We start from the raw sequence: 22,809 nt of genomic DNA on the forward strand, positions 1-22,809 counted from the left end.
ATTAAATATTATATATGAAAGATTATACATTATACATGCTCTTTTTCTATATTCTTTCTTGCCATTTTTGGCATATGTTATACTTTTAAGTATGGTGACATTCATCTATACTAGTTTTATTTTATATAACTATTACTCACTTTCTTATACTTGTCTATTGAGTTGTAAGAAAATTTTCTCTGTTCTTTTTCTCATTATATTTAACAGATATGTGGAAAAATGTCTACCAGTTCTTTAAAGGTCAGCTCTATGGAACTTCTATTTATTTCATCTGAAGTCTTAGAATAGGAAAGAATCAACACAAATATAGAAAGTCACGTGAAGAAGCTAATTTATGGGGAAAATGAGTTCAATTTTGTGCAGGTAAAATTGGAAGTGATAGAATAATATGTCCAGCAACTACTTGAAAAGAGGATGGGATATAGGTTTAGGAGTCAACAGTATAGTTGAAAATTAAAATTGCTCAAGAGAAAAATGGAAAAAGCTCGGAGTAGTGAAGGATTAAACCTTAACATGAAACCATGGAAATGAAGCTGCAAAAAGAGAAAAGAACATTTATAGATTGAAATAGTAAAAGCTAATAATTGGATGATAATTAGGTGAATGGAAAGCCTACCACGGGGGTATTAATAAAGCTCCAACTGCAGGAGAAGGAAGGAAGGAAGGGAGGAAGGCAGGCAGGCAGTCAAGGAAGGAATGAAAGAGAAAGAAAAAAGTAAAATTATTTGTACTTGCATGTTTCAAAAAATCATTGCAGGGACTTGGTGGAAAATAAGTGGATGGGTTTGTGAGTTTGGGATGAGAGGGTTAGGAGATGTAACTTGATAACTTCCTAGATTTGAGATAAGCACGTATTCTAATATAACTTCTTTGGCTGTGATGCACTGAGGATCAGCTGAGGGATACCTCAGCTGTTTCCTATCCTGAATAAAAGTTCCTGGAGTAAGAGGAAAAGAGTGTCCAACATGGTAAAGAATGTCAATTTATCCCTACCCTTTCATTGCCCCTACTTTCTTTTAAACTTGCATATTAATCATTTGATACTGTTTTTGGGTGAGATAAATACTTGCTTCCCGCAATAGGTGACAGATGAAAGGATTTTATTGTCATATACTAAGAGTGGCATCAGCAGATAAGTGGAACTGTACCTAATTACTGCCAGAAAAGGCAGTTCAGGGTGAACTCCTTTAAAACAAAAATTATCACCCTTTGTATAATTTCTCTAACATCAAATTGACTTATATCCAAGAATCACAGAGCGGATCAAATCATTCAGTTCTTTGGGACTATAATTAACATCCAATTCAACTTAGAAGGTTCATAAGGAAATTCCGCGGCTCAAAATTAGGCGTTAGGTGGGCATTTTACTGAGGGTTTTTTCCCTACGGCCACATGAACAATAAGTAACCCGTCCTTTAAACATTTTTCACACTAAACATTATGCCATGTTCCAAGGCACAGACCATTGCAGCCTCCGTCCCCTCAGCGGCGTAAACACTTGGAATGGGCATGCTGCCCCGTTACTTAGTATTGAGAAGTGGTCACTTTTTGCTCTTCTTAGGTGAGTGTAAGCGACTGCCTTCCCCACTTTAGGTGAACCCCAGGACTTGGAGCGTCTGTGGGTGCTCCTCTAATGGGGACAACTCCTCCCTTCCGACTCCATCGCAGAGAACCCAAAGTTCGAAACCAACAGAACGAAAAGCAACGAAGCACACTTAAAGTGAGGAACCCGGCAAGCGGCGAAATTCTTGCTGAAGAGAAGAAAAAGCGAAAGGTTTTCCGCTGCAACCAATCAGATGAGAGGATTCTTGGCACGCCCCTTTCTATCTACCAATCAACATCTAGCTCAATGGGGCAGTCCATTGCCACAGGGAAAGGGCTTGGTGCAGCTTCCCTCACAACACACACGTCATTCTAGGCCATTCCACGAACTGTGCTCAAAAGAGGAAAACAGTGCAACAGTTCCAAAGCTGATCAGTCTCGTGGTGAGCAGCGAAACTATAGACTTCTCTAACAAAACCATGGATTCTAGGAGGGACTGGGAAAGAGAAAAACGAATTCTGGAAGGCAAACTACAACTCCCAAAGGCCCTTGCGCGGACTCAGCGCGCGAGGGACGAAGGGCGGTCCACTGTAAGGGGAAATGCTGAGGATCACTGGGCTCCTCCCGGCTTTCTGAACGCAAGCCAGCAAGTGGGCGGGACCTGGGGCGGGCGGAGCGGCGAGAGCATCTGCTCCTGCGCTTTGTGGTCTCCTGCCTCCGGCTTCTCCGCCTGCGACGTCGAAGGGGGCGTGGCCTGCGCAGAGGCTGGTGGGGGTGCGGGCGCCGCGGGACTTGGGTGACGCGTCCCTTTCCAGCTCAGCGGTGTGTGAGGTGTCGCGGCCCCGCCGGCGATTGGCTGTTGAGAGGCGAGTACGCGGCGGCCGTTGGTCGCTGGCCTCACGGAGCAAGGCCCCCGGCGGGCGGGGAGGATATGGGGCGGCAGTGGCGGCTGCAGGAGGCGGGCGTGGACGAGCCGGTGGCTGCAGCGGCGGCGGTCCCCGGAGTCCTGTGAAGCGCCCCTGTCCGCGCCTCTGTGGGGCCCTCAGAGAGGGCTGCCAGGACGCGAGCCACTGAGGAGCCGCTCAGCCAGCGCCATAGCCCTTAGGACTATCGGTCACATTCTCGCGCTCCTGCTCCGGCTCCTCCATCTTGGCCTCGGCAGTGGCGGCTGCCGGGAGGATGTGCCGCCTTCTGGCAGGGGGAAGAAGGAGGAGAAGATGAAGAAGCACCGGCGGGCCTTGGCCCTGGTCTCCTGCCTCTTTCTGTGCTCTCTGGTCTGGTGAGTAGCCGCGACGACAAGGGAGTTCCCGTGAGGGGAGTAAATGGGAGGGAGCAGCCCAGGTCACACCCCCTGGTCATTTTGGCTTTTAGGGTCCGGGTTTCCAAGGCCCCCGTGGAAGGGACAAACCGATTACTTCTCGACTCTCCATCTGACTGGTCTGGTAGTGCTCTGTGCGGAGATTTTCATGGTGTATTTTGGAATTTACAGAGACTCAGTGGGAGAGAGAGAGGTGCCAAGGTAGAGGGAACCACCAAGTGCCTTTGTACTCAGTTCCTCTACCCCTTGGAGACGGTGCAGGGTTTGGGGTGGGTGTTCAGATTGATGGTAAGTAAGTTGCTCCGATTTGCCGCCAGTCTTTGCGTTCTTAGTGTGGTAAGGGGATAAAGCACGTCGGATGTGATGCGTTCCGGACGTGCGATTTTAAAACGTGAGTGGTCATGAAGGTAAGAGTAATGTATAAGCAGTAGTTCTCCTGGACATTTCTCGCACAGCGTTTGATCCCAAGTACACTCGGGCCGCTGTTTTTGGAAACTTGGGGGGCGTGTGTGTATGTGTGTTATGAAGCACTTTTTCAATTGGTTTGGTGGAGAGGGTGTCTTAGATGTAGTGTGTGTAGTAGTTTTTGGTAATGCCCCTTAGTGACGGGAAGGTAAATGCTGTATTTTCAAGGCGGGAAGAGTGCTTTGTCCCTAAAGCACTCCTTAAGTTTTACGGAGTTTCTGTTAATCCCAGGCACTTCTGGAGTTTTTTGAGGAGCAGAGAAAGCTTGTAAGTCGAGGGACTGCTGTCACCGTACTTGGAAAAGCCATTCTTTCCTCCCAGGGAATTTCTTCAAAGATGTGTGACAATTGATGACTGAAAAGATGCTTCTTCAGTCTAGGCGATTTGCTGTTTGTTATATTAAAATAGAAATTAAGTTTCCTGTTTTGCTTATTTCTGCAAAGCACCAACACTATTTTCATTTTTATGGATGCCTTATGGATTCCAGAAGCACTGAAATTGTAGAGTTGTTGCTCACATAAAATAATACATAAACAAGGGGAAGAGAAAACACTCGCCTGGCTGAGGGATTTTTATTGGAAGAATGATAGAAGTTTTTGAGAACAAAAACAATTGACTTATTACCTTTCATTCTGAATCCTTTTAATACCCGTCTCCTGTTTTTAATAAAATCCTCCCCTTTCTACTTACTGTGTTGGGTACGGAGAAGTGCCTGTAAGAGATAAATCCACTCACCTCATTTTAAATTTAAATTTGTAGATACTGAAGCTTGTATTCATTTCCATCTCTTTCTGGGGCTGCCTAGTTATATTTGTAGACTGTGTATTTTCTTTCCTCTTTCTTCTTGGTCTTGCCCATCTTTAAACCATGTTATTCATCATCAAAAGTTTCTGAAATGGCTAATAAGGAAAAGGTGAACACTTTCATTCAAGTTTAAAAACACACCAGTATCTCTGGCTTTTTTTAATTTTTTAATTGGATGGTGTAAACGAAATCAAGCAATAGAATGTGATTCTTACAATCATTTGTAAATTTAAGTTAACTCTGCTTCTATTTCTTTTGGGAATTTCTGGCTATCTTTTGATTAAGCTAACCCTCAGTATGTTTTCTCACCTTCAATCATTAGCTCTAGTGAAGAGCTAATGAATTTCCCTGTTAGGGAACAAATCGGTTGGCCTGGTATTGAAAGTAGTAGTAATAAACTTCTGTCAAGTTTTTTAACTCCTAGTGAGGAAAATGGATGTGGAGAGTTTAAGAGTGTGAACATTTTAAGAAACTTTAGCTTAAGAAACTATTGGGTTAGTATATTTTGAGATTTGTTTAGACTGCCAAATTTAGAGACATTTTAATTATTCTTTAGCAAAACGATTAAAAGGCATTAAAATAGGACATTAAGGCTTAAAGGGTTTTTTAAAGGGTGATGATGATGAATGAGATTGGGGAAGAGGAGTGGTACCTGGTGCTGATTGGCAAAGGGTATGTTTTTTCTTTGAAGCCTCTGCTTTTGTGCCAAGTTGGAATTAATGGCACTTAATGGATTTCTAACTTTTGCTGCAATCTGGTGTGGTATTTCTTTTCCCAACAACCTCATTCCCTTTAACAGAAATGGCTACCAACAAGTCCTAGGGTTAGATAAAACGTTTGCAAGAGTTGATGAGTGCCTTTTAGTAGCCACTTTTGTCTCTTTTGTTATTCACAAATTGTCTCAAAATTTTGTGATCCGTTTCTGTTTTGTACATTGAGTGCTGTATGTCTGTTCTACAGTATTCTAGTTTCTGAGGTTTCCCCTCTCATGCTACCAATATTACTGTGTTATGTTTACTATCATAATTTTGTAGATCTTGATTATGTCTCCCCTCTGCTTTTGTCTTGTAGCCTTGAGTACTAACCTTAGATTATGTTTACAGAAAAACCATTTCATCTATGTCATTATTAATTTTTGTTGCTGTTTTTTCCTTTTGCATAGTTTATAATTTTTGATCAAGTAGTATAGAGTATTCTAGGCATAAATGCACTATAGCTGCAGCACAGAGCAATGATAGCTAATATTTGCTGACAGCTGTGTGTCAGACACATGATGTTTACTTGACAATAACACCTTTAATCTTTATAAGAACCCTATAAGATAGGTATTATTATTAACTTCCTTTTGCATTTTACATGTGAGGAAGTAGAGAGGTTAACTTGGCTAAGTTTAAGCAGCTGTTAAGCTTCGGAGCTTAAATTTGAACCTAGGCAGCACAGGCTCCTGAGTACTTTATAGGTCAGAGGCCTGTATTTTATATATGTGGCTCCATCATTTACTAGATATGTGTTCTTTGACTTGTTATGTAACTTCTTTGAACCTTAGTTGTTATATCCTCAGAATGGGGAAATTGATCCATTCATACTTCACAGGGTTGTTAGGAGGATGAAATAATACAAATGACAGATCTTTGTAACACAGTAACAGCGTATTATGTAAATATTTCATCATAACATTATTCAACCACATTTTGTTCTCATACCTACTGTGCCAGATGTTTTTATGAGCACCGAAAATCCAAGATAGAGGGTCACCAGCTTGTCTTGGTTTTAACACTGGAAGTCGCATAACCTAGGAATTCCCTGCATTAGTTTCTTATGCCTGCTGTAGCAAATTGACACAAATTTAGTGGCTTGAACAACACACATTTATTACCTTACAATTCTGTGGATGAGAAGTCCAAGATATGTCTCACAGGGCTAAATAAAGTTAAGATGTCAACTGGGCTCGTTCTTTTTGGAGGCTCTGAGGGGAGAATCTTTTTCTAGAGGCCACCTGTATTCTGTGGCCCCTTCCTCACATCAGCACTCCAACCCTTTTTTCAGTCCTTATGTCTACTAATGACTGGTCCTCCTGCCTCTTCCTCTTATAAGGACTATTGTGATTACATTGGGTCCAGCCAGACATTCCAGGATAATCTCCCTATCTCATAATCCTTAATTTAATCACATCTGCAAAATCTCTTTTACTATGTAAGGTAACATATTTAGGGATTAGGATGCAGACATCTTTGAGGGGGGCGCATTATTCAGCCTATACCCTATACCATACTCCCTCAGTCCTGGGCAAACTGGGAAAGCTGCATCACCCTAAAGAGGAAAAAAACATAATTAGTGGATATTCTGAGTGTGTCCCTTAATTAGTAAAACCTTGTGCATCCACCTTAATTGTCTATAAGTTATGTACATGTGCCAATATAGTAATAGTATATTAGTGTATGTAATTAATGCAAGTTAGATATTTAAGAAAAATGAGAAAAAAATAATAATTTCTGTTAACGGTACCTTTTGTTCTCATTAAAATAATAATTTTTAGTGAGAGCTATGTGATTGACCTACTAGATTATTTTATGTCATAGTATAGAAGAGGAATAGCTTCAACTACTTAGGAGTCAGCCCTGTCATTTTCTTGTTGGCTGTGCTTGCATTATTAAATTCTTTGCAGTAATTTTTTTAAAAGCTGCTTCCCGATGTTGTGAGGGTCAATTCAGTTAAAACTGAATAATTCCTAAGTCTACCTAACTGGGGAAACATAAACCACAGTGAATCATGGTGTGCTGTAAGTAAAACCCATTGTTTGTGGGACTTCCACTCTTTCCCTGGGTTTCTGTATGAATCCTTACATTAATCTTAGTAAAACTTATTTTTTAAAACTAAACAAATCTATTCTTCCTTCACCCCAAAGGATCATCTTGGAGAAGCTTATATTTAGACTTTCGGGAAGAGCTTGACATTTAAACAAGTCTCATACATTTGGCAAATATAACAGGTACTTACAAAGGTTTTTAGGAACAGCAAAGGAAGAATTCATATCCTACTTGTGGTTCTGTCACTAACTGTATGTCTTTGGACAAGTTACTTCTGTGAACCTCAGCTCTCATCCATAAAATGGTCTGCAGGATGGATAGTTCACAATGAGCGAATTTTGTTGTAGGCAGAGAGAACACTTACCCAGTTATCTAGAGCGTGAGTGTATGTGAGGAGAGATGGGAAGGGAGGCTAGAGCTAGGTTTTGAAAGGATTTGATTATCATGCAGATGAATTCTAATTCTAACCACCTGACAGAGGATGAGTAAGTGAAGTGGTTTAAACTGGAGAACAGGAGCATGAGGTCACATGGATCTTTTAATTAGATTGCTGTGGAGGGTAAAGTGGAATGTAGGGGACGTACTTTGGAGGCACGAGGTCCTAAGTCGTGGTCCCACTAGAAGAGAGTTGATATCTAAATCAAGATGTTGGCCTTTTTGTCCTTAGTAGTAATTTTTCTGAGTATGTCAGACCAGTTTTTATCAGTTTAAGAGGTTTATTTCCTGGTTTGTGATTACATTTCTGTACCCTTTTGCTTTTTCTCTCATGATTGCTGGTCTATTAATATACATAAGTGAGCAGAAAAAAATTTAAAAACTAGAACAATATATAAGCTGTTTTTTCTTTTTTGAGGTGATGAATAGAGCATATTGGAAACATATCGATAAAACATTTTGAAAATTCCCCAGGAAATCTGGAGGAATTTTTTTGCTTGTTTCTGCTTCTGTCTCTAAACTTTCAAGGTACGGAATCTATTTCTTTTCTGAATAATATTTGAAATAAATAAAATAATAAAACAATCCCACTTCTCCAAATCATTTGATGCCTTTTTTTTCTTTCCTTGAATAAACCAATGAAAGATGACCTTTACAAAAATGATTTTTTTAGTGGAACTTAATGTGAAAGACTGAGGAAAAAAAGTTTATCTTTGCTCTAGGATATATATTCTGAAGAAAGCACCTGGTATTTTTATTTATAAGAGGTGTCGGGTCATACAGTGTCAGATCCCTTCAGACAAGTTAGATGAAGCCACTTAATAGGAAAAGGTCTGTGAAAGAAGGTGTGTGACATCTTTGCATAACACTTGAACACTGTGTCCAATAAAAGACGGCAAATGACGTGTTTCATGTTGGTCCTTTATGTTATTAAACATTTGAGGATATACTGGAATGGAAGCAGGCAGTAGGGTTGACAGGCAATGGAAAAAATAAAAGGTATCAGCTCTTTTGAGTATTGGTTATTTCATTTTTCGTTTGTTCATGAACTTGTACATCACTCTTTCACTTTTCTCAACAGTCTGAATGGAGAAAAGAATCAATATGTATAATTAATATTCTTATGCTTATAATGAAAGGGAAACTTATAAAAATTTAAGTGCTTTATTATTCTCAAGTCATCTTCAAATAGAAACACCTGTATGTACGTGATGCTTTTGTTTAGTAGTTTATACATAACTGGAAAGAGATGAAATCTCTTGAAACTTATCTACATGTTTTAGATTATACTTTAGTGCCAGTTGTATGTTATGTTTTTCAAGGCCATATTTTAGACTAATTTAAAAGTCAAATTGTACATGTCACAAGGGAATAGGAAATTGCTTTTGAATATTTGCAGTATAAGAGTGTTAATCCTTTGGGATGAATTTGTTTAATAAATGCAAGTTTTTTTGAAAGAAGATTTGGTTTTAGGACTTTATAATTAATTGCTAGTTAAAATTATTTTATATTTTACATGAAAGTGACACCTGGCTGTATCAGAAAGTATTCTGTAACATTAATACGGTTCATAGGTACTAAGCTAATTTTGTATTATTATGTAGCGTTTGTAATCTACTGGAGAAAAAACATGTAAAGGCTAAGAACAGTGCCTCACTCGTAGTAAGCACTACTGTATGAGTTATTCATTGACTCTAGCTACTTTGGTAATTTGTTGAGTAGAAATAAGATGGCCTAGGTTTCAGAGTTAAAAATGGGAATTTATAAATCCACTTAAATATTATTTGATTATTCACAATGTATTTGGTGTGATGAAGGATACAGAAGAATTGTGAGACTTGAGCTCTGTATATAAGCTGCTTGTTACAATACAGATAGTGGTGTAGTGTGAAAGGCATAAAACTATGTCAGAGCTTGGTTGTAGTTCTTTCTTTTCATTGTTAATATGAACATTTATTGAGTGATTATTTCTCTTCTAAGTACTAAATACTATTCAGTGTAATATGCATTAAATTATTTTATTCTCTGTATAGATGTTTTAAGGCAGACACTCCATTTTAAAGATGAAGAAAGGTGGGCACAAAGAAGTTAAGTTCTTAACAGCTTGCCCAAGTTCTTACAGCCAGGAAGCAACAGAGCCAGAACTAAGAAGGCCAGGTTCTAAGCCTGTGTTCTCTTAACCGGTATGCTGTGCTGCCAGTTGGCTGGTAGATGGTCTTGGGCAAGTTTCTTCACTTTTTCTAGTTAATAATTTTATCTGGCAAAGTGTCAGTTTTTTTCATCTGAAAATGTGGGTGCCTGTATTAGCCTAGGAAGGAATGGACATTGGAATTGTTCATGAAACTTTTAAAAGAAATACGCATACCTAGGATTCTTACCTTGTAGATTTTGTCAGTAAGTTTGTGATACTCTTTTATGCATTCAAGTCTGTATTACTGTATTAGGTGAACTCAGTTTATTTTTTATATGTCTAACATTCTAAGATACTTGATTTGAATGTTAATAAACAACACATAAAACTGAACTGCATAGTAAGTGCTTAAGAGGAGAAAATGAGGGCTAGAGTTCTCAAGGAAGGCTTGACTTGGGTTTAAGGGAAATGTGTGGTTTATAAACTCTGCTTCTGTGCAAACAGGAGCTTCATGAGCTGAAATAAGATGTACTGGTGTTGATAACATGAATAATGGCTATTTCTTTGTGTGTGCATGTGTATGTCTGTCTGCCTGCTTGCAGTGGGTAGATGGCACTTAATTGTCAAGGAGAAAGAGAGTTATGAATGGAAGAGATAATCTAGTTGATATGGGTAAGAGTGGTAGTAAACAGAAAAGCCTGAGGAGAAAGAGAGAGATTTCAGAGATTGTGGTAGATTTTGCAAACCAGTCCAAAGAATTAGATAATAAAGATTCAGCAAGAAAAGTGGTGTTGTGAGAACATTATTTTGACATAATTGTGCTAGATTTGTTTTTAGAGGAAGGAGACTTAGAGGGGTGAATACAATTGGCTTTCCACATCCACAGATTCAACCAACCTCAGGTTGAAAATATATTTTAAAAACAATAAAAATAACAATACAACAATAAAAATACAAATAAAAACAATGTTGTATAACAGCTATTTACATAGCATTTACATAGTGTTAGGTTTTAAATCACCTCTAGATATTATATGGGAGGATATGCATAGATGTTTTAAATCACCTCTAGATATTTTAAATCACCTCTAGATACTTATATGGAAGGATATGCATAGATGTTTTAAATCATCTCTAGATATTTTAAATCACCTCTAGATATTTATATGGGAGGATATGCATAGGTGATATGCAAATGCCATTTTATGTAAGAGACTGGAGCATTCTCAGATTTTGGTATCTTCGGATCCTGGATCCAACCCCTTCTGGATCCCAAGGGATGACCGGGCTAAAAAGCCCTTGGAGTAATTGAGGCTTGTCATAAGAAGGACTTCATCTTGGCAGTAGAAATAAAGAACAGGGTACAATAAATAGAGATTTTTGAGGAGGTAAATGATTTAATTTTGTGAAAGGTTGGCAAGCTGGCAGTAGTGCAGTGCAGTGCAGCAGATAACAGCATTAGGCTAGGATTCTAAATAACTGGATTTTAGTTTGCCTCTAACCAAACTCTGTTCAACATCCCCTTTCTGTTGTCCATCTCAATGCAAAGAGATATTTACTTAGGCTTCAGTGTGCTGTATCCTATACAGGATTCTGGTGGACAAAACAAAGTAACTGCTTTCTTGGAGCACACTGTCACTGAGAGTACATTCTAGGGCCTAAAATTATGAATCTGTGAAATAAAGTTCAATGAGAAAAGAAATGTTAAGCATTTTTTGTTTGTTTTCTGTTTGTTTGCTTGTTTGTTTTAACTTGGGCAACTAGAAGAATTGGTGGTGGTCAAAAAGAAGTGGAAGAGTTGGCAAAGGGCTTGGAAGGGGAAGGAGCTGTTAGTTGGAGGTGAATGGAATATCCAAGTGGAGACATTTTATGGGCACTTAAAAATGCAGACTTGAATGCAGATAAAATTTGGCCTGGAGTGCCAGGCACGGTGGCTTATGCCTGTAATCCCAGCACTTTGGGAGGTCGAGGCAGGCGGATCACCTGAGGTCAGGAGTTCGAGACCAGCCTGACCAACATGGAGAAACCCCGTCTCTACTAAAAAAAATAGAAAATTAGCCGGGCATGGTAGCGCATGCCTGTAATCCCACCTACTTGGGAGGCTGAGGCAGGAGAATCACTTGAACCTAGGAGACGGAGGTTGCGGTGAACCAAGATCGTGCCATTGCACTCCAGCCTGGTCAACAAGAGCGAAACTCCGTCTCAAAAAAAAAGAAAAAAAGTTGGCTGGAGTTATCCTCGTAAAGCAGAGGTCCCCAGCCCCTGGGCTGCGGACCAGTACTGCTCCGTGGTCTGTTAGGACCCTGACCTCACAACAGGAGGTGAACAGCAGGTGAGTGAGCATTACTGCCTGAGCTCCACCTCCTGTCAGATTAGCAGCAGAATTAGATTCTCATAGGAGCATGAACCCTACTATGAACCACACACGCGAGGGATCTAGGTTGTGTACTCCTTATGAGAATCTAATGGCCCCCCACCCCATCCATGGCAAAGTAGTCTTCCATGAAACTGGTCTCTGGTGCCAAAAGGTTGGGGACCGCTGTCATAGAGGGAATCATTTTTGAAAGAGAACATTGGACTTTTGAAACAGAATAAAGAAAGGTGCCAAGCATAGTAAAGCTCTGAAAGAAAGGAGGAAACTGGAAAGGATGGATGGAAAGAGATTTAAGGAAGTCATTTAAGTGGTCAACAATATAAAATGTCTTAGATAAGTTTGGAGAGCTTGAAAACTGAGAAACTTTTCAAAAGAGGGAAGTGATTGATAGCTTTTGGGAGTGGAGAATAATAGAAGATATTTGGAGAGCTGGTAGGCATGAATTCCACACATTTGTTTGGTAGCCAGGAGATGTAGAAGAGTACATAAAAAAAAAAAAGTTAACATGTAGAGTAGCTTCATACTTGTATGCTGCAACCCATTTTACACAGTGCCACTGGATTTGTCTTACATGCAGCTTTGATTATGTCAGTCCCCTGATGAAATATCTTTCAAAGGCTCCTTGAAGGATAAAACTTTAAACCTTGATAATTTTTAAATGCCTGCAGTCTGACCCACACTTACTGTTGTAGCTTTATTTTCTGCTTTTCCTAATAGAGACTTTGTTTGAGCATGACTGATCTGTTGGCCTGGTAGTAATTTATTTGAGGACTATTTTTGTAGTCTCTAATTGAAAATTAAGGTAACAAAACTACTGTCACTTGTGTTTTAGAGGCTAAATACACTGTACCCAATTTCTGAAAATATATTATTATCAAGTATAGGGCATGATTATTTCCAGCATCTTAGAGGACAAATTGTATTGGCTGAATTTCTAATGGTAGGTTATAATGGTAGGATATAAAAACAGAACATATCACATTTGTTTACTAAGTGCTTCTCTATGTTGGATCAATGAAATTATGGGCCAGTTTAGTGAAACAATTTTCTAATAGAATTTGATATGTGGAATATTAAGCTAAGAAAATTTAAGACCCAATCCTACATCAGAGTGAAGTTAAAAGTCAGAACTACTGAAATGCAAAGGTTTAATTAGAAACAGGCACTAGAACATAGAACTTTCTCAGCTAAGCTGTACAATTGCACGTGATTTGACTATGGACTGTTGATGCAGCCAAATAGAATAAAAACTGCAAGGAGAAAGAGGCCCAGTATGCTCTTACCTATTAGCAGATAGACCAAGCAGAAGAGAAGCAACCTTAAAAGAGCTCCAGACTGATACGTGGTTTAGAAGAATATCTGTCTTTTAATAAAACATTGTGATGGAGAGAAACTAGGTTGCTTAAGCAAAGGCACTAGAGGCCTGGTGATCTTTTGGTCTTGTTTTATTACCAGTGTTTGACCAAAATGGCTTCCACATTATTCACCCATTTCCCACAAGTTTCTCAATACTTACAGGATTTCAGTAAATTTTTTCAGATATCCAGGAAGTAATATTCAAAAACTACAATTTTCACTGATAACTTTAACCATACTGCGCTAATTGAGTGGCTGGCACTATATTTCTGTACAAGGGATTAACTTTGAATTTATGTTTAAGAAGCAATTCTTTGTTGCCTAGTTTAGTTATTTCTTTTACCACAAAGTGTTTTCTCATTCTTCTTTTTAAAGCTCTGAAAAAGCTTTTCTAATTCATAGTTCAAAGTAGGAGCTCAATAGATCATCATGCTGGCAACAGGGCAGTGTATTCTCTGCCTTGGAGTTGCTTAGTCTTATGTGAGAAACAAAAATAAACAGTTAATTTCATTTCAGTGTGTATGTGCTCAGGTAGAGATAGCCAAAGGGCTGTGGGAATTTAGAGCGGGCCACCCACCAACCCCAGATTGTGGAAATCAGGAAAATGTTTTAGACCCTTATTAGTTTCTTGCCCCAAGAGAGAAGAATTATAGGTATTGAGTTATGTTTTAGATAGTGGGAGTGGGAGCAGGTACAGAACATTCTTGAAAGAGGGAACAGCATGAGCCAGAGACATGAGACAGCACAGTCTGTGTTCAAGGAACTATTACAGGTAGCTCTGTATCGCTGAAGCATAAAGTGAAAGGCAGGGAGAGTGACAGGAAATATGAAGCTGAAGACTTAGTAGAATTTTAGAGATTTTTAAATAGCATGTGGAGAGAAGCTTGAGTTTTGTCATGTAGTTAATGGAGTCTGTAAAAGGTCTTAAGCAGGGGAATGGTAGTGTGATAATTTACTGTTAGATTTTTGGCAGAGGTGTGAATGGTTGATTTGCAGACGTAGCAAGTTAGGAATTAGGGAGATCTGTTAGGAGGTTGCTCTAGGTAAGAGATAAGGGCTTGAGTTAAGGCAGTCAGAATGGGGATTGAGAAATGATTTGAAGAAATTTAGAGTAGAATAAACAAGATGGTCAAGGGAGGGTGAAGGCAAAGGAGTAGTCACAGGTGTTTTTCAGGTTTCTAGTTTGAGGACTGGGTAGATAGCAGTACCAGATGGTGGGATCAAGGATATAGGAGGAAGAGATTTGGAAAAGGAAGCTAATGTATTCAATTTTGGATTTAGATGTTTTTGAGATACCTTGGAATATGAAGGAAGAGAGATGCAACTTTTAAATGAGCTTTGTTTATCCTCAACATTAAGGTAGGGTATCACAGAAGGGTTTTAAGGAATGGACCAGTTAGGAAAAGATAAGGGCTGAAGATAAAGTTTCAGTAGCTGTCAACTAAAAACCATGAGAGTACGTAAGTCTCCTATGTAGAATATAAAGGGAAGATTTCAGAACCAAACCCTTGGAGCATCAGAATTTAAATAGTGAACAGAAGCAGCATATCAAAGGAGACTCAGAAACAAGAGTCAGTGTGAGATGAAAAGCAGAAGTGTGTAATTTGACAAGTCAAAGAGGAGATGGTTTAAGTTAAAACAGCAGTCAGAGGTACCACATGCAGCAGGGAAATCAAAAAAAGCTAACTTCTGCCACACCATACTAGTCTCAGTGGTACAATGAGGACAGAAACTAGATTTCAGCAGGCTGAGGACTAAATAGAAGGTGAAAACATTGAGATTACAAGTATAAACTACTGTGAAATTTGATAAGTGAAAGTAGACAGAAAAGGTAGTGGCTGATAATAACTGACATTTCAGCACATATTCTGTGCCAGGCTAAGCATAGCATATACATTTATTTCAGTTCCTCCTAATAAGTCAATTTTACAATGTTGATACTGAGTTGAGGCATATAGGCTGGCCTGCCTGCCTTCCGTCCTTCTGTCCGTCCGTCCGTCCTTCCTTCCTTCCTTTCCTTTCCTTTCCTTTCCTTTCTTTCCTGGCAGGGTCTTGCTCTGTCCCCCAGTCTGGAGTACAGCAGCATGATCACCACTCACCGCAGCCTTGACCTCCCTGGGAACTGGTGATTTTCCTTCCACCTCAGCCTCCTGAGTAGCTGGGACCAGAGGTGTGCGCCACCATGCCTGGCTAATTTTTGTATGTTTTGTAGAGACGGAGTTTTGCCTTGTTGCCCAGGCTGGTCTCTGACTCCTGATCTCCTCTTAAATTTGTCCATACTCTTGGATTAAAGTATTAATCTAATTTTTACAAATAAGGAAACTGAAGCTCATAAGTTGCCCATCACTCACCTTGCAAACTTAGATCTCTCTCCAAATTGTTGGATTTTTCCATATTGCTACGTTTCATGTTTAATATTTTCTAGCCAACAGATAAATGAAAAGAAAGGTAAGAAGATAACACTGTTACATTCACTCAAGAATTGGTGATACTGGTCAAAGCTAGATACAGCATAATACAAAAATAAAACAACTATCACAAAGGAGAAGTTCTGATTAACTACTTCATGATTTTCGTAGTGGCAACAAGTGATAAATATGAAGGCCGTGTAGTAGTGGCTAAGAGGCGCAGGCTTCAGAGTCAAAAAAATCCAAGTTTTAACCCCCGGTCCCTCACTTATTAATTACAGGATCTTGAACAAGTAATAAAACCTGTATAGGCCAGGCACAGTGGCTCACACCTGTAATCCCAGCACTTTGGGAGGCCAAGGCGGGTGGATCACTTGACCCCAGGAGTTCGAGACTAGCCTGGGCAACATGGCAAAACCCCATCTCTTCCAAAAATACAAAAATTAGCCAGACATTTTGGTGCTTGCATGTAGTCCCAGCTATTCTGGAGGCTGAGGTGGAAGGATCACTTGAGCCCGGGAAGGGGGAGGCCGCAGTGAGCTGAGATTGCACCACTGCACCCCAGCCTGGGTGATAGAGTGGGACCCTGTCTCAAAATAAATTATGTACAGCGAAATGCACAGATCTTAACTGTATAGTTGGATCAGTTTTGACACATGCATACACCTGTGTAACTCACACCCCCTCAAGATATAGAATATTCTCATCACCCTAGAAAGTTCTCTCATGTCCCTTTCTGGTGAATCCCCCAGAGGCAAGTAGTGATCTGATTTCTGTCACCATGGATTAGTTTTGCCAATTCTGGAACATCATCTAAATGGAGTTATACAGTATTAGCTCATGTGTTTGACTTCTTTTACTCAATGTAATGTCTGAGATTTACCCATTTTGTTTCCTTTGTCATTAATTAGTTCCTTTTTATTGCTGAGTAGTAGTACACTGTATGAATGTACTACAGTTTATTTATTCTTCTGTTAGTGGTTATCTGGACTGCTTCCAGGTTTTCGCTATTAGGAGTAAAAACTACTATGGACATTCTTGTACAAGGCTTTTTGTAGACATAGTTTTCATTGCTGTTGAGAAGTACCTAAAAGTAGAATTGCAACTGCTGAAACGGATATTATATGCTTTTCGATACAATATCCTGAGAAAGTCACAACATCATTATAATATCCTGAGAAAGACACAATGAAGGATTCTGACTGAGAATACCTAATCTGAATCTGGTCATCATGATACATCAGACAAATCTCACATAAGAACCATATTATTTAAAAAGAAAGGGGACTGTAGCCTTCAAAAATGTTAGTGCCACATAAAATAAAGCTCCAGAACTGTTCCAAGTTAAATGATACTGAATAGACATGACAAATGCAGGACATGATCATAGATTTAATTCTGTACTGGAGAAAGGAATTCTAAAAAAGACATTGGATTAATTGACAAAATTGCAATGTGGACAGTAAATTTTTGTGTCAATGTAACATTTACTGAAGTTGATACCTGTATTGTAGTTATGCAAGAGAATATCCCTATTCTGTGGAAATAGATATCACAGTATTTTAGAGGTAAGTTACTGGGAGAGAGGGAACAGAGGGAGAGAGGAAGGATGAGTGAGCATGGGCAAATGACAAATAATGGAACAAATTAAGTAAAATATTAACAATGGATTGATACAGCTAAAGCATTTGTAGATTTTTTTTTGTACTATGCTGCCTACTCTTCTGAAATTTGAAATTATTTCCAAATAAAAAATTTAAAAACGGTTTGAATTTTCTCCTGTGTGTGAGAAGTTGATAGATCCATTCAAGTTTATCAGTCTATTATCAGTTTTTTCCATTCCTTATGCCAGTTTTGCAATGTTTCTAGAAATTTATCCATTTCTCCTGTTTTCAAATATATTGTTATATATAGTTTATAATATTTTATAATTTTAAAAATGTTTCCTCTGTGGTTGTTTTTTCTTTTTATTCCATATTGTGTTAATTCCCATTACTATCTTCCCTTTATTGGTTTTGCCAGAAGTTTGTCTAATACTTTCTTCAAAGAACCAACTTTTGATTTTCTTAATTTTCTTTGCTGTTTTTTGTTCTCTATTTTAGCAATGCCTATCCATATATCCTTCCTTGTTTCTTTGCATTTGTACTCTCTTTTATCTTTTTGAGTTGATTAGCTCTTTTGTTTTCAGCATTTGTCTCAATGTATTCAGAAGCATAGTTTTCCTGCTATTGTCTTATCTACATCCCACCAATTGTGATTGGTAGTCTTCTGCTGATTATTTCATAATATTGTTTCCTCTTTAACCTAAGGATTATTTTGCTACATATTTCTTGCTTCCAGGCTTGGGATATTGTTAGCTGTCTTTCTGTTATTTCAAATTTTGTTGCAGCATGGTTGGAGAATATAATCTTTTAGAGCTTGAGTTTTTGGAATTTGAGGCTTCTTTTGAGGCTTTAGTTTACTATCGGTATTTGGGAAATGTTCCACGTGTCCTTGAGAAGAATGTTTTAATTTATATGTGGTATAAAATTCTGTATCTTTGAGCTTCTTACATGGAATATAAATATCATTTTGTCCACTTAATCTGTTATTTTGTGAGGTAATTTAAAATAGACCACCATACTTTTTGTTTATTCTCTTTCCACCTGTAGCTTTGCCAGTGGTTGTAGTATATTTTCTACATTGTTAGGTGCATATATATTTGTAATTCTTTCTTCTTTTTACTCATAGATAATAAATCGCTGTCTTAATAACATAATGTTTTCCATCTTGTTTGGTTTCTATGTTAATTAAAATGGCTACTTTGTTGTTTTCATATTTTCTTAAAACTGTATATACTTACTCAAATTTTTAAATGAGTTGAAAATTACCCCTAATGTTTCCTAACATAATAATTGGTACTTACTGGGTAATCTTACATGCTTGTAAAGTTTCTTCATTAAAACTCAGAGGAAAACAATTCATTTGAAAGTGACAGACTCCAGTTTAGTTTTATTAGCCAAGCCTAATAATTGCAGACTCCTTCTTTGCAATTATTAGGCTTGGCTCATTTGCATATTAGTATATTCTTTATTGCACATTAATGTGTCTTTCTGGAATTCATTATTGCATTATTTTGCTAGATTTGATAGTATGATAAAAAACAATGGTTAAAGATAGCTGGTTCAGTAATTCTGCATTAGGCAGATATAAAAAGCTGTCATTGCAAGCCATTGGATATCATTTTTAAAAGGTATTTTTTTCTCAATCACTTTCACATTAAAGAATGCTTTCTTCTGTAATGAAATTTCCCTTGGCACAATAAAGAATGTTTTCTGCTTTCTTAATGAAATCTTCCTTGGCTCTTCAGTTGCTATATTGTTTGGAAAATTTTTCCTGAGTCCCTCTGCTGTTCTTTTTAGTAAGAATGAATTGATTTCTCTTTTACCCTAATACTTAACGATTATTTTTTTAGACACATAGTTGTAACATACACCCTTAAAATGGCAGGATGCCTAGAAGTATTAAAGATCGTAGGTTGCCACAACAAGAAAAACTTGTCACCATACATTCAAGTTGAAAACCTTCCTTCAGGGAAAAAAAAAAAAAATAGAAATACAGTTTCTAAAATGAAAGCAGTAGGTTTAAGAAAAGATTAAATCCCCAAAGTCTGTCTTTTAAACCTAGGCATTCCATTTCTTCTGGTGTTATTTGGGTGCTTCTGATAAACTAACCTAGGCTGATTGCCCTCTATTCCTTGTTTACAGCTATCTTCCTGGGATTTGTCTTTCTAGTCACCCTGGGGGTTTCCTTTGCCTCTGTTATCTCAGTATCATATTGCTGTAATTACTGTAGTTTCATATAGATCTAGCCCCTCATATAAGAATATTCTTGACTATTTCTGGCTTGTTATATAAAAAGTCTCCCTTTTTACCACCTCAGTATGTAGTTCAAACTACCCCTATATATTATTTTGAATTGTGAAATTGACACTTTTTCCAAGTAAAAGGATTGTCAAATATTGGCAATTTCAAACAGTTCTACTTACTAGAAGATTTCTTGCCAAGTTTCTATCTGGACACGTTATTGTTTCTATCATAAATGAGTCCTTGTTATGGTTTGAGAGAGTGTTGATTTGCTTCTTAATTTTATACTTGGGAATATAATTTTTATATCTGGGACTTCTTTTAATAGGTGATTCTTTTGAATTTTCCAATTATATAAACTCATCTGCAGTTAATGCAGATACACTCATTGTTTGGAACTACAGATAATTTTACTGTCTTTTCCATTTTTATGCCTCTTTTATCTTCATGTTTTGTAATGCTAATGAAAATGGACATTCTTGTCTTATTTCAGATCTATATAGGTGTCTTTTTAGGTTTCCTCACTAAATATAATACTGACTTTTAGTTTTATGTATTACATATGTATTTTCCATGTTAAATATATAATTATTCCTGTTTCATTATTGATTCTTAAAACATTGATGGATGTATAAGTTTATCAGATGTTTTTCAGTGGCTATGGATATAATCGTAACATATTTTTCCTTGATATTTTTGCATAGCAAATCAAGTTGATTTTATTATGTTGGACTAGTTTTGAATGTCAGAGCTTAACTCTACTTGATAATAATTGTGGTATATTTCTCCTTTGGTATGTTCCTAGAGACTTTCTTTTTTATTGTTTTCTTGATAAGTTTTGCATGTTATTTCATAAGTACTATTAACCTCTAGTATTCATTTATGTATGTGCTATTTCTGTTAGTTTTTGATATCACTGTTAGGTTCTCTATGCAAAAATAATTTGGAAGCTTCTATGCTTTTAAACAGTTGAGGTAACTTTAGGATTATCTGTTCTTAAATATTTGTTAGAATTTATAAGAACTGGTACTTTCCGAGGAGGTTAGCTATTTGACAGCTTTCTGTGTACCTTGTGTGATAATTATCAGATACTGCTTCTGGTGAAGACTTTCCTGTTGTACCTTCATGGAATTCATAATGTCTTACTTGGAATGCTGATAATAATGTTTATGTTTTTCTTATACGTATTGATTTTCGTCATTAAATTGTTAAAAGGTATTAGGATAGGAACCATCTGTCTGTTTATCGCCTCAAATTCTAGCCCATATAGAAATATGTTGACTTAACAACTTTTCTTCTTTCTTTCTCTTTCTCTTTTTCTGTTTGTTGGTGGTGGTGGGTGTTTTACAGGCTTCCCAGCTGGCGTGTATGTTGTAAAGAGAGTTCTTCAGCTTCAGCGTCATCATATTACTCTCAAGATGACAACTGCGCACTAGAAAATGAAGATGTACAATTCCAGAAAAAGGTGCCTTAAATAAAGTTAACATTATAATTTGTGTGTCAGCTTTCTGAGAGTGTCTGAAAACATTCAGAATAAAAGTAATTTCAAAAATGCCATGCCATAATTTTTGGTGGAGATTCGTATTTTTCTTTGCTATTACTCAGGTAATTCTTAAATTATGACGGCTCAGAGATATTTATATGTTTATTCTTGTTGCTTGTATTTGGAATTTTGTAACATCCTTAGTCCTGTAGTATAGGGTAGTGCATGTTCAGAGAGCTGAAAATGAGTGATTTGTTTTTAATGATCTATAATAGAGTTTTTAAAGAAACCCCAATTTTGCAAATGAGAACTATTAGAAGTGAGTATTCCAGGGAGAATCTACAGTCAGTGGCTTTGTAGTTTGTTTTATGTAATTAGGTGCAGTAAATATAAAGACTCCAAAAAACCTCATGGTCTTAAAACATGTATTATTTTACCATTCTAAATGATAAATGGAGAGTATTGACTTGATTTGGCTTTTGCCTTTAACTTCAGTGTATTTATTTAAAATTACTGAAGTAATTTATATTGGTATAAAATATTTATTATTTATGTCTCATTCCTTTCCCCAAAGGAACAACAGTCTACTATTTCTTGTGAAAACGTTTGGACCTTGTTCTGTGGGTATAGATAACACCTTTATATTTGCCCACAAATTAATATTTTTATTTCCATGAAAATATCATATAAATATATTACAAATTGCCATCCCCCTTCCCCTCCAGTGATAGCTCATATATCATCTTTTCATGTTGATATATTCTGAATGGCTGCATTTTAATCTTGTTATATAGACATTATTTATCAGTTGTTCTTTATTGACAAACTTTTGCATTTTGTTCCCTGCCATGTGTGCACACATGTGGGTGTGTGTATCAACACATACTTACAATTACATACTTGAGGGTTTTTTGGGCATATTTAGAGTGGATTATTTAAATTTAAGTTATGTTGGATATATTTCTGGGATGGAGCATTTAAAATTTTGAAGACTTGCCGCATATCTCAAAAAAAACTATAATTTTATATTTTCACCCACACAGTATATAAGATTTTGATTTAATCCCCCTTTTGATGAAGCATTTTGCAAACAAATGTCATAAAAGTGAATTTAAGCAAAGCATTAAGGGGGAAAGCATGTTCTTTCAGTAAACATTTAGATACCTAGTATGAGCTAGATAGGCTCAGGTAAACAAAGATTGAATATGAACTTTTATGAAAATTACACTCTAGAAGGCATAAAGGTATTAGAAATTCTAACTTGAATGTATGTCAAAAAAGAGATGAAAGAAAGAGCTTTATGTATCTTCATTTGTCAGGTATTCATTGGAGTTTTACTAGGTGCTTACAACGGTGCTGGATGGTAAGACTAAAATGCTTATTAAGAAATCAAATGAAGTTCTTGAACTGGTGTATTGCACATTTTAAATGTTGTAGCAATGAGGGGATTCAAGGAAATAGACAATAATCTTGTATACAAATGAAATTAATTAGAGTCAAATAAACAAGGCAGTTTTTTGGTTTTAAAGTATGGAAAAAAACCATCTTCGTATTGCTTTATAACTGTTTTGTAAAACAGTTTTATCAGGTGATTTTTGTTGTTGTTGTTATATAGGATGAAAGAGAGGGACCTATCAATGCCGAATCATTGGGAAAATCAGGTTCAAATTTACCTATTTCTCCAAAAGAACATAAATTAAAAGATGATTCTATTGTGGATGTACAAGTAAGCTATGTCGCTTTGATTTTCAATAATATGTCATTTCAAACTACTTTACAAGATTGAAAACCTTTGGTCACCATATTGTGTGTGTATTGTTAGTTTTTTCACTTTGAGGTAC

General features: G+C 37.2%; 1 protein-coding gene across 8 annotated transcripts in view, besides 4 other annotated features; it reads left to right on the forward strand.

Annotated features, from left to right (window-relative positions):
- Nucleotides 1,673-1,782: an enhancer, noted in NCBI's record as "active region_2092". NCBI's record gives its function as "activates an Ori minimal core promoter by ATAC-STARR-seq in GM12878 lymphoblastoid cells {active_cell/tissue: GM12878}" and the evidence as "EXISTENCE:reporter gene assay evidence [ECO:0000049][PMID:35858748]".
- The window catches only part of SUCO (SUN domain containing ossification factor), a 79,485-nt gene continuing 58,348 nt past the window's right edge, over nucleotides 1,673-22,809 (forward strand). For 4 of the 8 annotated variants that reach the window (XR_007060764.1, NM_014283.5, NM_001282751.2 and 1 more), the window contains exons 1-3: nucleotides 2,474-2,821; nucleotides 20,836-20,950; nucleotides 22,584-22,694. Coding sequence is in view for 6 of the 8 variants with exons in the window: in NM_014283.5 (NP_055098.1) it covers nucleotides 2,760-2,821; nucleotides 20,836-20,950; nucleotides 22,584-22,694 (288 nt within the window). In the remaining 2 variants the exon portion in view is untranslated. Of the gene's footprint in view, nucleotides 2,123-2,473; nucleotides 2,822-20,835; nucleotides 20,951-22,583; nucleotides 22,695-22,809 lie in introns of those variants that run through there. The other 4 variants (XM_006711375.3, NM_001282750.2, XM_006711376.2 and 1 more) reach the window with 2 other exon arrangements.
- Nucleotides 1,843-2,092: an enhancer, noted in NCBI's record as "active region_2093". NCBI's record gives its function as "activates an Ori minimal core promoter by ATAC-STARR-seq in GM12878 lymphoblastoid cells {active_cell/tissue: GM12878}" and the evidence as "EXISTENCE:reporter gene assay evidence [ECO:0000049][PMID:35858748]".
- Nucleotides 2,413-2,582: a silencer, noted in NCBI's record as "silent region_1552". NCBI's record gives its function as "represses an Ori minimal core promoter by ATAC-STARR-seq in GM12878 lymphoblastoid cells {active_cell/tissue: GM12878}" and the evidence as "EXISTENCE:reporter gene assay evidence [ECO:0000049][PMID:35858748]".
- Nucleotides 2,703-2,862: an enhancer, noted in NCBI's record as "active region_2094". NCBI's record gives its function as "activates an Ori minimal core promoter by ATAC-STARR-seq in GM12878 lymphoblastoid cells {active_cell/tissue: GM12878}" and the evidence as "EXISTENCE:reporter gene assay evidence [ECO:0000049][PMID:35858748]".

Source organism: Homo sapiens, chromosome 1, assembly GCF_000001405.40.
Source record: "Homo sapiens chromosome 1, GRCh38.p14 Primary Assembly".
NCBI lineage: Eukaryota > Metazoa > Chordata > Mammalia > Primates > Hominidae > Homo > Homo sapiens.